Source organism: Homo sapiens, chromosome 4, assembly GCF_000001405.40.
Source record: "Homo sapiens chromosome 4, GRCh38.p14 Primary Assembly".
In the NCBI taxonomy this organism is placed as follows: Eukaryota; Metazoa; Chordata; class Mammalia; order Primates; family Hominidae; genus Homo; species Homo sapiens.
In genome coordinates, this window is record NC_000004.12 from 123026930 (window position 1) to 123044777 (window position 17848).

The 17848-nt window shown below is 35.1% G+C and overlaps 1 protein-coding gene across 19 annotated transcripts in view; it reads left to right on the top strand.

Moving 5' to 3' along the window:
• AFG2A (AAA ATPase AFG2A) overlaps nucleotides 1-17848 on the top strand; it is a 396356-nt gene that overhangs the window by 103852 nt on the left and 274656 nt on the right. For 17 of the 19 annotated variants that reach the window (XR_007096375.1, XR_007096376.1, NM_001438322.1 and 14 more), the window contains one exon: nucleotides 1257-1466. Coding sequence is in view for 16 of the 19 variants with exons in the window: in NM_001438322.1 (NP_001425251.1) it covers nucleotides 1257-1466 (210 nt within the window). In the remaining 3 variants the exon portion in view is untranslated. Of the gene's footprint in view, nucleotides 1-1256; nucleotides 1573-17848 lie in introns of those variants that run through there. The other 2 variants (XR_007096377.1, NM_001317799.2) reach the window with 2 other exon arrangements.

A 17848-nucleotide genomic window follows, 5' to 3' on the forward strand; every position in this document is an offset into this window, starting at 1 on the left:
AATTACTCATTTGTCCGAGTCTGAATCCTGAATATTACCCTAGATACCATTTTGTTTCACCACCCCTCTCCAAATGTAGCTTTAAGTTTTTCCTGTTTCTTTTTCTACTCCCAGAACCCACAATTATAGCTCTGAAGTATCCTTCCAGTGAGTTTTCAGTATCTGCATGTGTTTACTCTAGCTCAAGGTGTGTTTTTTTTTCTGATATTTATGTCATTAATTGATCTCTCTGATGAATCTTGTCAGAGAAATCTTCCAGAAGGACATTTCAGACCATATTGCTTTCTAGATTAAAAAACTTCAAAGACTTCCAAGAATGTACAAAGAATTCTCTTGAATTCCTTCCTCTGGTCTTCAGGGCCCTATGCTATGACTTCAACTTTTCTTTATTTCCCTCCCTCAAATATTTTTTCTCTTTTCCTTTTTATACTTCTTTCCTTCTGAGCTTTCTGTCACTTTTTGGCCTGTACCTAGCCATTTCCCTGTTCTTGCATTTCCAAATCTCATCTATCCTTCGAGAGTTGGCTTTTACGTTTGTCTTCCAGCTAGAAGTAGTCTTTTCTTCCTGGGAACTCCCAATGGCCTTTTCAGTTTGTTATTGTACTTAGTATCCTTTCTGTTGAACTGTGGTTGTTCATGGTTACTGGTTGTTATAGTTAGTTCTTTAACGCATGGATTCCTGTCTCATTATTCTATTTCTTGTGTACGTTTTCTGGTACACGTATATTCTTAAGACATATAAAGAGCTGTCTTGTTCTGGGGGTATTTCTTAGTTGAGAAAAATAAAACCTTGGGGATACTTTATATGCTAAAGATAAAAATGATTGTGTGTTCTATAAAGATCTACAAAAATATGCTTGGAAGTAGTTTTGCTAAAAAACAGGTATAAGAAATTAGATATATAGATGAGACCTTGGATGACTTGACTCAAACCACTTTCAGACAGATGAAACGTAACTTCTAAATCTTTCTAGAAGGTTAGATTTTACGATATGCTCAATCATTTAAACAGTTATTTATATGAGACTTACAAGCAGAATTTTTTTTTTTTTAGTATTTTTACAATATGCAGTTCACATTTTATGTACTCCTAATTTACTTCTTGTTATTCTTGGAATTTTTTAAAGGATTTTCCTGATTCTTAAATGGTTCTATTCTTTTTTGCAGTTCTTCTGTTAATGATATGTTTTTTATTTTTTTTTAGTTCTCTGTTTGTCCTGGCAAAACTTATATTTGGAAAATGTTCTATTTTTCAGGTATCCTGGTCAGATATAGGAGGACTGGAAAGTATCAAACTGAAGTTGGAACAGGCTGTGGAATGGCCCTTAAAACATCCAGAGTCTTTCATTCGAATGGGTATTCAGCCACCTAAAGGAGTTCTTCTCTATGGGCCACCTGGGTGCTCTAAAACAATGATAGCAAAGGCTTTGGCCAATGAGAGTGGACTGAATTTTCTAGCTATAAAGGTAGGGTGTTAAATTTTTTAATCGCTACTCTCTCTTGGCCTCCCCCAACCCCCATTCTCTGACTCCTACCTTTAGGAGAACGAATAAAGGCATCTTAAGGAGCAGTGATTCTTTTTTTTTTATTTGATGTTGATGGCAATATAATATAGGGAGATGAGTGATAAGAAATAAATTCGTGCATGTAATCAGCAAATCATGGTAGACATTGGGAAGACTGCTTTATTTAGTTTCTTGATTCTGGTATTTCTTATATCCATGTGTAACAGAAGCTAATCTTTTTTTTTGTTTGTTTCTACATTTTTAATTATAGACTTTTGCTTAACCAGGACTTAAAGATAAACATGACAGTGAATTCAATATTTACATACCTAGAATTTTCAAATGAACAAGACACTTGTTATGGTACACTAAATTCTTTAAAAATACTTTTCCATTCAGAAAGTATATGTGCATTGTTTTTATTCTGAACCACACACACATTTTATTTGTTCATTGCTTCGCCCCGATTAACTGGGATAGATAATCTTTCATGATATGTAGTTGTACACTTACTTTAGGACCAGATATTAATTTTATGTAACATTATGATATATCCAGATACTTAATCCACACATATAAAACTGTAAATCCATTTCTGTGGACTGTATCACAAAAATATATACCTAAATAGATTAACTATCAATTCATTTCAGAAAAGGCACATGATCATCTGTTTTGATATTACCAGGGAATTTTTTACATAACAGAATGCATTTTCTTTAGCGTGATCTTGGCTCACTGCAAGCTCCGCCTCCCAGGTTCATGCCATTCTCCTGCCTCAGCCTCCCGAATAGCTGGGACTACAGGTGCCTGGCAAATTTTTTGTATTTTTAGTAGAGACAGGTTTCACTGTGGTCTTGATCTCCTGACCTCATGATCCGCCTGCCTCGGCCTCCCAAAGTGCTGGGATTACAGGCGTGAGCGACTGCGTCTGGCCCAGAATGCATTTTCTGTCTTAGAACATTGAAATCATTGGCAGTTTGAAAGCACAAAACTTCAGAGTAGTTTGTCAACTTTTGGCTTTACTTAAGATTTTTATAGAATGATACTTAGGTGTGATTAAGCTGTTTGTTCTTTAAGAATCAGTATCTTCAACATATTTTTTATTTTCTGGAAGATATTGGAGAGTAAAGATGGGGGAGGAGACCATTTACAGCATGATCACTTATGGGGAATCACAACTACAGTTTTAAAGGTTTCAGGTTTATTTGTTATTTTTTTGAGACATGGTCTCACTCTGTGGCCTAGGCTGAAGTATAGTGGTGTGATTATAGCTCACTGTAACCTCAAATTCCTGGGCTCAAGCTATTCTTCTGCCTCAGCCTCCTGAGCAGCTAGGACTACAGGTGTGAGCCATCACACCAGCTAACTTTTTAACATTTTTGTAGAGACAGGGTCTCACTGTGTTGCCCAGGCTGGTCTCAAACTCCTGGCCTCAAGCAGCCCTCCCACCTTACCCTCCCAAAGTGCTGGGATTATAGGAGTGAGCTGCTGCAACACAGCAAAGGTTGCGGTTTTAAGGGTTGAAGTAATGAGTGATTTTGTCACTTCCCAGGACAACTTGATTTCTCCTTGGTCCTTGTCCTTTTATCATGTGGTAATGGGGATGGCTGTGTTTACTGGCATTTTCTAGTCTTTTTACTCTCATCTCCATTTTTTCTGTTCTTACCTTGTATATTCTACAATTGTATATTCATAGTATTAGAATTTTTCTTGTCTACTGGAAATCTAAAATTTATTTAAGAACCTGTGAGCGAAGTCCTCATCAGATAAGTTTTCGACTTAACTCTTAAGAGCACACTTATTTTCTTACAAACTAGTATCTTACTTTTTCTGTGATCCAAGGTAATAATTTTAGATACTACTAAGACTGCTTTCTGGACTATCCTAGAATTACTTAGAAATATATTTATTATCTTTTTTGAACATAAACATTTCATAACCTTAGACAATTTCATTTTTAGTCTTTTTTTCACTATGAGGAAATTGTAAATGATTCTTTGAAAGGTTTAACTTTGTACACTGCTATATAAAATAACCAGGCACACATTCATTTATTTGAGCTTTTTCATTAGATTTTTAGGTCACAGACAGAAAAGCCACATGATGTTAACAAATTATCTTCATCAATTGAGTTCATAACTCAGAGATTATTACATGTCCTAGTTACTAATTTTGATTTAGTGTGGATTTTTATTCAGTTTAGAATTTAGTGTGGTTCGACAGTATTATTCAATTTTTGAATCTGTATGGAGGATATACTTAATGAATGATGGGTTTTTATTTTTCAAATTGAATATCCCTTATCAAAATGCTTTGGACCTGAAGTGTTTAGATTTTGAATTTTTTTGCATTTTGAAATATTTGCATTATACTTCCCAGTTGAGCATCCCTAATCTGAAAATTTGGAATCTAAAATGCTAAAGTGGGCATTTTCTTTGAGTGTCATGTTGGAGCTCAAAACGTTTTGAATTTTGGAGCATTTTGGATTTTTAGATTTAGGGATACTCAACATGTACTATTCGTTCAACTCTCCTATAGGTTTAAAATTTTTTTAAATACAAAGTTGGGAATATGAAAATAATTTGTCTTCTACTAGCATTTTCATTGGTCCTTTTATTTTCATCTATTCAGTGTTTGTGAGGAAAGTTTTAAAGTAACAATACCATACAGCTTATGTATGAGAAAATGGAGCCAAAGAAGTTGGGAATTCATACTCTGTTCTCTTTTTTTTTGAGACAGAGTCTTGTTCTATCGCCCAGGCTGGAGTGCAGTGGCACGATCTCAGCTCACCGCAGTTCCCACCTCCCAGGTTCAAGAGATTCTTGTGCCTCAGCCTCCCGAGTAGCTGGGATAACAGGCAAGCACCCCAACGCCCAGCTAATTTTTTGTATTTTTAGTAGAGACAGGGTTTCACCATGTTGCCCAGGCTGGTCTCGAACTCCTGAGCTCAGGCAATTTGCCCGCCTCACCCTCCCAAAGTGCTAGGATTACAGGCGTGAGTCACTGCACCTGGTCCTGTTCTGTTTAATTTTAACTTCCTGTTTAAAAAACTTGGCAACTTTTGTTCAACCCAAATGTTTGGTTTCAACCTATATATTTGTTTTCTACAAGCTTTAAGTGTTAAAAGTTAGTTTGAAATTTTGAAATAACAAATCTTACACATTTTGAAAGTGATCAGAAAAAGTAGACATACACTAGAATTCTCTAGCCAGTTAGGAAACACAAGTATTTTAAACAGATTGAAAGGAAAAACTCCCTATCACTTTTCACAATGGTAGTTACTACTTTTAATCTTCAAGATATTTTGATAGACTTACACTTCTTCCTCTAAGTTTATGAAAGAACCTTTTAGCTTCCTCTATGCATCTTTTCTGAACAGGGATTAAAAGATACGTACTGTACTCAGGGTGGAGACTTCAGCTTGGCTTGTGTGAGCTCTTAATGCCCTCTGGCATATATATGTGTTTTTGTGTAGATTGTGACATTTGACATACTGTGTAAGTTTAGTTTGTTATCTGGGACAGTTACGTAAAATACTTTCCAGTTGAAATTTCCTTTCTGCTTCTCTCTTGCTTTTGTCTGGAGTGCTACAATAGATTAATTGCCCTGGGATAGCTGCATTGCTTTACTATATGAAGAACTGTCACTAATTCTGCAAGAAATGTGGTTAGGTCTTTGACAGGGATTTTCAGCAAATAATTATTCTGGTAAATACAGGAATGTAATGAGCTTAGTATATCCTTGACTTTTTGGGAAATTTTCTTCTCTATACTTGTCTCAGAGAGGAATTGTATAAAATAGATTTCATTTCCAGAAAAACCTGTGGTTTATTCAAAGTAGTGCACAATTCAGAGTACAGGTGCTCCCCAATTTAAGATGGATTTACTTAAGTTTTCGACTTTACAATGGTGTGAAAGTGATATGCACTCTGTGGAAATTATACTTCGAATTTTAATCCTTTTTTTTTTCCTCTGAGACAAAGTCTCACTCTGTCGCCCAGGCTGGAATGCAGTGGCGCGATCTCGGCTCACTGCAACCTCTGCCTCCCGGGTTCAAGCAATTCTCTGCCTCAGCCTCCCAAGTATCTGGGGTTACAGGCTCCCAAGTATCTGGGGTTACAGGCATCCACGACTATGCCCGACTAATTTTTGTATTTTTAGTAGAGACGGGGTTTCACCATGTAGGCCAGGCTGGTGTCGGACTCCCGACCTTGTGATCCACCCGCCTTGGCCTCCCAAAGTGCTGGGATTACAGGTATAAGCCACCACGCCAGGCCCAAATTTTAATCTTTTACTGAGCTAGTGATATGCAGTACAGTACTCCCTCATGATGCCTGGCAGTAACAGTGAGCCACAGCTCCCGGTCAGCCATTGTGATCATGAGTGTACACAGCCAACATTCTAGAATGTACTGTGTTGCCACGTCACTTTTTCCAACTGTAGGCCAGTGTAAGCATTCTGAGCATGTTTAAGGTGGGCTGATCTAAAATATGATGTTCAGTAGGTTAGGAGTATTCAATGCTTTATGACTTAGGATATTTTCAATTTTTGATGAGTTTATCAGGACATAACCCCCTTGTAAATCAAGGAGCATCTGTAATTACTATTTGTCATTTAACTAGATATATTAATATTCTCTTATCAAAGGTACAAGATAATCTGAAATTTAAAAATTCCAAATTCATCTTTAGGCTTCTGTTTTTTAATTTTTGCATGGGAAGCTGCATAGCTCTTTTAATTACAGAATGCTTTAAGATTACAAATAAGGATAATGATTTTAAGAAGGTTAAGTGACTTTTCGAAGGTCTAAGTGGTAGTGATGGCACTGAAATTTAGTCTCAGAACTTTCTGACTCAAGAGTCTGAGCTCTTAACCACTGTATTATATATATGCTCTTCCATTTCCCTTTTTGTTTTTTTTAAAAAAATAGAACTAGTGTCCAATGGCTTTTTTCATTAATTACACAAAGTTACCAGGGAAGATAGTTTAAGTAGTTTCTGTAGGGTAGGTTTAGAGAAGTGGAAAGATGTTTCTGGGAACTGGTTTGAAAAATAATTTTGTTTCTCTAGGACAAAGAAAACAGAAAAATAACATGGCTTTGGTCTAGGAGTAAAAGTTAATAGGAAAGGGCAATCACAGCCAAAGATACAGGAAACTGTTCAATGAAATAGAAGTGCCTGGAAAAAGACTGATGGTGGGATAATGGGGAGCTTAAAATTTACCTGTTAGTATATAATTTGTGCCCTTGATATTGAGTATGTCACGATGAAAAGAACACTAAGCTGGGATTCACATTGCTTGGATTTACTTCCTAACCTTAGCACTTTTTAGTTTTGCAGCCTTAAGCAAGTTCTGTAAGTCTCATTTTTTTCATCCAGAAAAGTATAACATTTGTACATTATAAGCTTTGGGGAGCATTATGCTTAAAAAGGCAAATGAAAAAGTTTTTGGGGGGCATAACTCCCCACTCCTTGAGTGTGGGCTTCTTTCCAAAGAATTTAATATCAAAAGAGGGGAGGGGAAGAGCTACTGTACAATGGTGAAACCTGACAAGCCGTGCCACAGCCAGATGATCAAGGTTAACATCTTCAGTGATAAGTCATGTTGACAGTACAGTTGATGCTTTGAACAACACATTTTTTTAATACATTTTTTTTTCAGTATAGTTGCCCTTCCTTATTGTAGGTTCCACAACCAAACACAGATTGAAAATATAATATTTGTGGTATATGGAAACTCCCAAATAAGGAGGGCTAACTATGTGTCCTCAGATTCCACAGGCTGACTACAGGACTTGAGTATGTGTGCATTTTGGTATTCACAGTGGTCCTGGAACCAGTTCCCGTAGATAACTGATAAATGACTATATATACCCTTGGATAATGTGGTGATAATAGCACTTTACTTCTGTTGTCTTCCTCCTGAGTGCTCATAACCCCTCTCCAACCATGAGAAAAATTTTAGGCAAACCCACGTTAAAAGACATTCTGTAAAATCACTGACTAGTACTCCTCAAAACTGTGAAGGTTATCAAAAACAAGGAAAGTTTGAGAAACTGTCACCACCAAGACAGTACCCAAGGAAGCATGATAGCTAAATGTAATGTTACAATATCCTGTGTAGGATGCTGGAATGAAAAAAAAAAAAAGGACATTAGGGAAAAATTAAGGAAATCTGAATAACTATGGTCTTTAGTTTAATAATAATATCTCAATCTGGGTTCACTGATTGTAACAAATATACCATGCTAATATGAGATAGTAATAATAAGGGCAACAGTGTACATGGGTGGGTGGGCATATGCGAGCTGTTTGTACTATCTGCTCAATTCTTCTGTAAATCTTAAACTTTGCTAAAAAATAAAATATATTTAAATAAATTTTGAGGTCAGTATAATAGATCTGGGCATATTGTAGATGAAGTAATTGAAGTTTAAAAGGCTAACTCTGAGTTCTGTACTGCAGTGAACAGGATGCATGGAGTAAGGCAAAGAAGAGTCATGAAGAAGATTGTGGATTTCATGGGTGAGGGCTTTGATGACCTCTCCTATTCATAGTCCCCCTGCCCATAATGATAGTGGAAAGTTACTGGGAAAAGCCCTGAGAGGAACTTGGCTGGGGAACCTGGGTTTGGGGCTGCCCTGAACTTGCCTGTTTCACTGCACTTCTCAGTTGAAGCCTATAAAGGTGTGTGTTAGTTCTGGCCCCAAACCCAGACCCCAACACTATAAAGAACTCTTTCTCTTAGTGTTTTGGTTATTTTTTCTTTCACCTTGGGTGCAGCTTCCAGTTTAGTCTCACCAGGAACTATGTCATTTCATGCCTTTTGTGGATCCTAAGTCTGTATTCTCCTTCTATAGGTTTATTACTGTTTGGGCTCATCTAGAGTCTGAAACCTTTTGAGTTTCTATTTAATTTCCTTTAGAGTTTTGTTTTTTTTTAACTTTAAAAATTCCCTTGACTTCAGCAAATAGTGTTGTATTATGTGCCTTATTTGCTTAAATCGGCAGTTATTAACATCAATATTAAACAAAGACATATACTTAGTTTTATCCCTGTTTGAATGACTATTAGGGAATAACTAATAGTAACCTGTTATTCTTGGGACAAGTGGAATAGTTATTGTGCCATTGTCAGTTTTACAAGGTTATGAAGAAGTTAGATCAGATTTACTTACATTTGTCATTATTTGTACAGTATACTATGTTAAAGTTGTGGCATCATATGTTAAGACTATATATATGTTATTTTTTTTGAGTTGGGCTTTTATCAGTTGATAAAGCTGATATATAAAAAAAAGTCTTGATGTGAAAATATTCCATAAATAACATTTATCTAAAAGCAGAAAATGACAATAAGAACTATAACAAAACCTTTAGCATTTGGAATCTAAGAAGACCTAGAGAGATTTAGAAAAAGAAGGATAATTTTATAAGGAATTTTATAAGAAAAAGGATAATTTTAAACTTATAAGAAGTTTAAAAATAAGCACATTTTATTGTTGGGTTTAATTTTTTATTCATGGATAAATTAGCTGATGTAGAGAAACTAGTTTTTTCTTTCTATCTCAATTCCTTTTTGAATGAAATTTAGAGGTGAAATAAATATTACAATGTCATGTCTGTAATACTTTTAAAAATATTTGTAAAAGTTTTACAATTGGAATAGCAAAAATAACACCTTCTGTGTGTCAGGCACTGTGCATAGTAAACAAAGATATATTAGATGGGCTCCTCGTTATGTATCAACTCATTATTTAGTGGGAGAGATATTTGACTCAACAACTAACATGAAGAAACAGTTAACAGAATCTGCAGCTCTTGGTTGTTGATTGTATGTGAGAAATGAGAAAGAAAAGCAGTCAAAGGTGATAAAAATTTTTACTGTCAATGACTGGCAGATGGAAGTATCCTAACTCCAGGGAGAAAAGGAGAAACAGGTTGGAGGTGAGAGAGAAAATACCAGTGTTGAGTTTGAAAAGCCTTTGGGACAAAATGTTGAATATGTCCTAAAGGCAGTTGTATATATGGATTTGTAGCTCAAGAGGATGATTATTTCGAGAGATGAAAATATGGAAATTGAGATGAAAATGTGGAAATTGGAAATCAGTGTTTGAGATTCTGCAGACAAGTCAGCAAAGGAGACTGAGAGTGACAAAAGTAGTCATTAATAGCAGAAGGGGATTTCATGGGCATGTAAATATGTGTAAATACACATTTTACAACTTGCCTAATTGTAGCCAGCATGGTCCCTGCAATGTAAGTTCTGAAGAAATGTGTCATTTTTCTTTTTCCTGAATAGAATGAATGAATTTGGGGAAGGATTGTATTATACTTTATGAGAGGAACAGCTCGAATTCTGTTCTCTTCCCTGCCAGCCCCTCTTGCATTTCAGGGTTTTTACTTGCCCACAGCATTCTTGCCTAGTAATTAAAACCTATTTTCAAACTCTTTGAAGTGCTTTCCCAGAATGGCCTTCTGTATGTGCTGATACTGTACTTTTTATTAATTTTCAAGTTCCTTTACTCACATTACATATATGTAATTCTATCTTATGTGAGTTTGGATTTTTATGAGCATATTCCATAACATTTAACCATAGTTAACACTTAGGTTAACGTGCCTTCCCCAGACACTTTAGAACTTATAAAAACTTCATTTGAATTGTAATAACTAAAAGCACCAGGCAGGTGTCAGACACATTTAAAAAGCCCTTGGGAGGACTGAAAAAAACCCAGTAGTGATTAAAGGGGCAAAATTGTAAGAACATGAGGTGTAAATGTTATACTCGAGTTTGTGACTGATATGATGTAAAATAATGAAGCACAGTAAAAAGATAAGTCAGGTTTACTTCTCACTAGATTAATAGAACAGCTGGACAAATATTTTCACATGTGTTTATGATATTTTTGTTATTTTGTAAACTTGGATACTTGAAATATTGGCCATGGAATGTTAAAAGTAATGCTATTAAAAATAACTCAATTAATGGTACTTATTAATGGCAGTTTTTCTTGATCATTCTTATCAGTAAAGCACATGCTATCTAGGAGGTAAAATATGTGGCAAGACTAACATACATTCTTAAAAGTAACATAACTTATGAGCAAATACGGGACTGAGACTATACTATATATACCTAAACTCTGTAGTTAGATATAAATGGTCTCTTGTTTATAACGGGTACTAATAAAATTCTTATTTTCAAATTAGCCTATGCTACTATCTATTAAGAAAGAATTATACTTCACCTTTGCCACTCGATCTGCTCACCAGAAATACATTTGAATTTGAATTGCTGGTACTGTGTAAAATCTTGTTTTAAATTTAAAAAATTATTTTTAGCAGCCAGCTTTGTCTAGCCCCAAATTAACTTTCATCTAAAATCTTAACGGGACATTTCATTTCTCTTTTAAGGACTTAGAACAGGACATCATAATTCTTAGAAAGAGTGCTGGTTTGGAAACCACAATTCTGCATTCTTATCATTTCTGCCATTTAACTAGCTCTAGGACTTTTGGCATATTACTCAGCCTCTTTGTACTTTGCCTCAGTTTTAGGTGAGTAGGTTAGACTAAGTGACTCCTAAAGCCCTTCTGCTAATAACATTCTATGAGTAGGTCACAGTACTTGTACTTTAATCTGTTGCATATCTTTTGTGCCAATGGTGGCCAAATATTTGGGGCAGTTTCTCTAACTGTCAAGTGTAATAGTTAAAAGACTTGTATCCCAGTTCTGCCATTTGCTAAGCTGTGTGACTTTGGACAAATTACTTCACCTCTTTGCACTTAATATTTTTTTCTGTAAAATTGTAGTAACAGTGTACAACTCAGAAGACTGTTGCAAGCAGTAAAAGGGATAAGACATAGTAAGCATATAGAAAGATTCCACAAAATTAGTACATGCTGATTGCTGCTCTCTTCCATTTTTAAGAAATTGATGTATGTTTGACCTCAAATGGAGCAAAAATATGACATCACAGCTTATGATTCCTTAAGTTTTCTGTTAGTAGTAAAGTGTAATATTTATCTTTGAAACTGAATATAGACTTTTAAACTCTTTGTACCAAAATACAGTGATTTTTGGCAACTTAAACTTCAAGCTTAAAATAACCTCCCTTGGTAATGAAATTGCTGTGACTTCTCATAAAACTCGAGACCAATGCAACATACGAGTTCAGCTACTTGGGTTGCATTTTGCAGGCCATCTAGGTAAGATTCATCAGTACATAGTCCTGTACAAAGTCATATTTTCTAGGGACCCTGCAGTCTTTTCATTATGCCTTATTAGTAACACTTGACTTGAATTATTCCAATGCGTATTTTCTTCACAGTGCCAGATTTTCAAGTTAGAGTTTCAAATGTCTTAATTTTTTTTCTTTCTGTTTTGTTTTGTTTTGGAGGAAGAAGCATTGTTTCATTCTTATCCACAGGTCCTGTAGTCCACCTTTCTGTGGCAGTGGAGTGACCCTTCAATTGGTTGAGGCTTTATACTATATTTTCACATTTTCAAACAAAGTATCAAGAATGTTTACCTGTATGTTGGATATTTATTAATAAACCATATTAATCTTTCTATTGATACCAAGATATTGACATTGTACTTAGCAGAGAAAAAAATCATGAAATGACCATAATCTTGTACTTTCTAACATTAATGCCTAGGTTATCTTCATCATCTACAGAGAACAATGACCATTTTTCCAGGTTCTCTAATCTCTTTCCTTCAGTTAAGCCAGATAATTAAAAAGCAGTATATATACATTCAGTTACATTGCCTGAATAAAGAAATCTCTTCACTGGATTATTATTTTATGCCATATCCTTGGCTTTTGCAGACAATTGCTGTAAGAACAACAGCAATAATGTAGAGTTGGCATGATGGTAATTGCAATAAAAACAGTGACCCCAGCAATTTCCTTTCTGATTATTGTCAGGCCACAGTTTGCCTAGGTAGTTGCTCTAAACTGAATAAAATCTGCATACAAATTTCTTACCACCCCTAACCCCTCAACAAAAACACACTCTGCTGTTTATCTAAAGCTTGTTTTATTGGGTGGGCCCTGATCCTTGTTTTAGTGTTCACTTTCTTAATTCCTTGTCCACAGTCCCCCTTGTGTAAAACTTAATTTACCACATGTAAATGAAAAGTACTAGTTTTGTTTATTTGACTTTATATTATGTTATGAATAGGCATTTCTTGCTTTGTACTACAATCGTTTTTACAGCCCTATACTACAGGCATTTCTTGCTTTGCAGTCTAGTACAAAGCAAGTATAGGGCTGTAGTATAGGGCTGTAAAAATGATTGTGCAAGGTGAAATTATGCAGAATGATCTTAATCAGTGGGAAAAATTACAAGTGTTACATAACTTTTAAACATTTTGTCAAAACATTAAGAACGTTCATTCTTGGTTATAAATGTTGAGGCAGTGCATTTTGGCTGTATAACAGATCCCTTGCTAGTTTCCCTACCTCTTAACTTATTTCTTTGACTAGCCCTTCATTCACACACTGACAGCCTAGTACTCCATTTTATGAGGACACAACAATTTATTTACTCATTTTTATGTTAATGAATTTTTAAGACACTTCCACCTTTTATTTTTATTGTTGTTATAAACAGTGCTCAGTAATATTCTTATTCATTTTCTTTTGTATATTGGTAAGAGTTTCTGTAGGGTATACGTATCTAGAAGAAGTTGTTATTGTTATTGGACATGTACGCTTCAACATTACTAGATAGTTTGAAATTGCTTTTTTTGTGTGTCATTAATTTTTTTTGCTTAATTTGTATCAATCAATTTTTTAAATATTTTGAAGATTGTTCACTCCTTAGCAATTATGTCATTGACATTTTTGATGACTTTTGATCTTATAGACAAAAGTGAACTCTTTCAAATTATATGAGATTAATCTACATCAGAGGTCATAGTCTTTAGACATAATCTGGCCTGCAGTGTATTTTGGTCCAGCTCCCTAGCTAAGAATGAATTTTTCATTTTTAAAGGGATATTAACAAGAAGAATATGTGACAAAGACTTTATGTGGCATATACAGCCCAAAATATTTACTCTCTGGCTCTTTATATTTCGTCTTTTTAGATCCCACAATACGTGGAAAACTGCCTTCAAGTTTATTTACCTCAGTGACGGCTGTGGGTGTAAACATTGTGTCGCTGTTACATAGTCTAACCTGTATCTAAAAATAAGCTTGTAAAATTGATTTGGTATTGTTTCTTTTTCTTCAAAATCCTTAGAAGTATGAGAACATTTTGCCTCAGCATAATTAATGTTTCATTGTTTGTCTTTTTTTAAGTTAAATCTGTTTGGTAGTTGCATTATTTAAAAAATTGAGATATGGAAGTATTGGTGATTAAATTGTAATTATGAAGTCACTCTGTAGTATCTTAAGCTTAACAATAATTTTATTGTGGAAACATGATTGCTTACAGTTTAAGTACCAATGTACAAATAATTGATATACTAATTATAAATAATTACTCATCCAAAACACTGTGCCAAGCAAATCCTTGTTTACTTATGGATACATAATCACTTTGTCTATTTGTGTATTCTGTGGTTTGTAGATTTCAGTCAGTGATGTAATGATATTATCTGTCTTAAATGAAAGATAATATTTTTAATTATTACTCTTCTTTTTTATAATTTTTTATTTATTATTATTATTATTTTTGAGACGGAGTCTTGCTCTGTCACCCAGGCTGGAGTGCAGTGGTGCAATCTCAGCTCACTGCAAGCTCCACCTCCCGGGTTCACGCCATTCTTCTGCCTCAGCTTCCCAAGTAGCTGGGATTACAGGTGCCCGCCACCACGCCCAGCTAATTTTTTTTTTTTTTTTTGTATTTTTAGTAGAGACGGGGTTTCACCGTGTTAGCCAGGATAGTCTCGATCTCCTGACCTCATGATCCACCCACCTCGGCCTCCCAAAGTGCTGGGATTACAGGCGTGAGCCACCGCGCCCGGCCTATGATTATTCTTTTCATGTATCTGTCTCCTAATTAGCCTCAAATATTGATTTTTAGACTATGTATAATCTATTACTCTGAAACAGTTTTTTGGGGTTTTTTTGTTTGTTTGTTTTTGTTGTTTTTTTGAGACGGAGTTTCGCTCTTGTTGTCTAGGCTGGAGTGCAATGGCGTGATCTCGGCTCACAGCAACTGCTGCCTCCCAGGTTCAAGCGATTCTCCTGCCTGAGTCTCCCAAGCTTGGATTACAGGCATGTGCTACTACTCCCAGCTAATTTTGTATTTTTAGTAGAGATGTGGTTTCTCCATGTTGGTCAGGCTGGTCTTGAACTCCTGACCTTAGGTGATCCGCCCACCTCAGCCTCCCAAAGTGCTGGGATTACAGGCGTGATCCACTGCATCTGGCCTGAAACAGTTTTTCAAAAAGATTAATCATCTTGGGTTAATAGAAAAAAATCAGGCAGAAAGATAAAACTACTTCTGTCATTACTTAAGGATTCCTGTGTTTATGCTATTAGGTATCTCCCTCATCTTAATTGAATATGATGCAAGGCAGTGTCCTTGGTGGAAGCTGGATTCTGTCAGTCTGAACTTTGAGATGTTCTTCCTATCCCTTTCTTATTTTTGCTCTTAACTTTTCTACCCTGATTCTCATATCTTCTAACCTACTCATCTATTACCATATTATCATATTTCAATATTTTTGAAGCAGCATTGTGAAGGTAATTGTCTTATTTCAGGCTGCTATAACAAAATACCATAGACTGGGTGGTTTAAACAACAGAAATCTATTTCTCACAATCCTGGAGGCTGGGAAGTCCAAGATCAAAGTGCTGGCAGATGTGGTGTCTTCTTAGGGTTTGCTGCTTGGCTTTCATGTGGTCATCTTGACATAGCCTCACATAGTGGAAAGCAGAGAGAGAGAGAGAGATATCAAGCTCTCCTGTCTCTTCTTATAAGGACACTAATCTCATTCATGAGGGCTCCACCCTCATGAACTAATTACTTCCCAAGGGCCCTGTCTTCTAATATCACATTGTGGATTAGGATTTCAGCATATGAATTTGGGAGGGACAAATTTGGTCCATAGCAGCACCATACAAAAACAGTATTAAAGGTGGTCTCGTTTTCATCAGGCATGTTTCCAACTTGAAAGATTTGTTAATGTCCATAATTTTTGTCTGTTTGCCATTTCTGTTCTTTTCCCTTTTCTCCTCTTTTCTTTTGCATTCAGTGCATTTTGATATTGTATATTATCTCCTCTATTATCTTAATAGCTAAGCCTCTTTATTTTACTTAAAAAAATACTTGCTCAAGCATCTATACTATACATACTTACATTCTGTCTTCAAATAACACTGCACCACTTTATTTATAGTTTAAGTTCTTACATCAATATACTTTTGTTTTCTTGTGCTGTATTCTGTATTTTACCTCTAAATACACAATAAACTTTATATTGTAGAGTTAAAACTTTTAGTCAGTTACCTCTTAAAGAAATTAATTGAAAAAAGAGCTATTCTATATTTATTCATATATTTGCCGTTTCTAACCCTCTTCATTTCTTTGTATAGATCTAGGTTTCCATTTGATATAAATTCCCATCAAGCTTTAGAAATTGTTTTAATATTTCTTGTAGTGGAGATCTACTAGTGACATATCCTCTCAGCTTCTGTTTGTCTGATAATATCTTGTCCTCACCTTTCATTTTTAAGGATATGCCATTCTAGCTTGACAGGTTTTTTCTTGCAGCACTTGTCCTCCATTGTCACTTGGCTTGAATTGTTTCTGATAAGAAGTCAGCAGTAGTTCTTTGCTTACAGATATATAATGTGTTCTTATATTCTCATTTCTCTTAAGACTTTCTCTTTCTTATCAGTTTTTAGTAATTTGATAATGATGCATCTTGATGTAGTTTCCTTACTTGGATTTCACTGAGCTTTTTTGGATCTAGTTAATATTTTTAAAAATCAAATTTGCCTATGTTTTTGTCATCTTCTTCCACTTTTTTTTCCTGACTTTTCAATTGTATATATGAGGGGACTTCAAAAAGTTCATGGAAAAATGGAATTAAAAGATAAAAAATATAAACTTTATTTCTCAACATAAGGTCCATCAAGTTCAAGATACTTTTGTAAGTGATGATACCAGTCATTTAGTCTATCCCTAAAGAACTGAGTGTCCTGGGAAATTAATCATATCAGTGTTATATTTTTTACATTAGTAATTGAATAAAAATGGGTGCCCTTTAAAAATTTTTAAAGATTAAGAAACAAAAAGAAGTCAGAAGTTGCTAAATCAGGATTGTAAGATAAATGCCTAATGATGTCCCATTGAAATTCCTGCAAAATTGCCCTTGTTTGATGAGACAAATAAGCATAAACTTTGTGGTAAAGGAGGACTCTGGTGAAGCTTTCCTGGGCATTTTTGTGCTAAAGCTTTTGCTCACTTTCTCAAAACACTTGCAGTCAGCAGATATTATTATTCTTTGGAAAGTCAACAGGCAAAATATCTTGAGCATTCAGAAAAACTGTTGCCATGACCTTTGCTCTTGACCAGTCCATGTTTGCTTTGACTGGACTACTTCTATCTCTTGGTAGCCATTGCTTTGATTGTGCTTTGTCTTCAAGATCTGTAGAGCTGTGTTTCATTTCCTGTTACAATTCTTTGAAGCAGTACGTCAAAATCTTGATCCCACTTGTTTACAGTTTTGATTGAAAGCTCTGCCCTTGTATGCAGCTGATCTGGGCATAAGGATTTTGGCCCTAATCATGTGGAAAGTTTGCACAACTTTAATTTTTCAGTCAGAATTGTTTAACCTGAACCAATTGCGGTGGCTCTGGTGGTGGGTATTGTTTGTGCTGTTAATCATTTATCTTCTTCAATTAGGGAACAAACAAGATGAGTTTTTTCCTTGCAAACTGATGTGGAAGGTCAGCTGCTGGGGTCTTCATCTTCAACATAGTCTTGTTCTTTCAGTTATCCATTTGTAAACTGCTATCTCATTAGGGCATTGTCTCATGAACTTTTCATAAAGCATCAATAGTTTTACCATTTTTCTATCCAAGCTTCACCATAAATTTGCTTCTTCTTGCTTCAATTTTAACAAAATTCATGTGGCTCTGACAAACTGTTTTCAAACTGGTATCTTACCCTTAGTGCCTCAAACTGGACTCTGTTCAGACATGTTTTAACAAGTTAGTATGAATTTATTTTGGTGCAAAAATAACTGAAATCCATGCATAATTTTTAAAATAATACATCTTTTACATGAACTTTTTGAAGACCCCTCATATATTAAACCTCTTAATATTGTTGTTATTAAGGGACCTGTGTCTCTGAGGATGTCATTTTTTT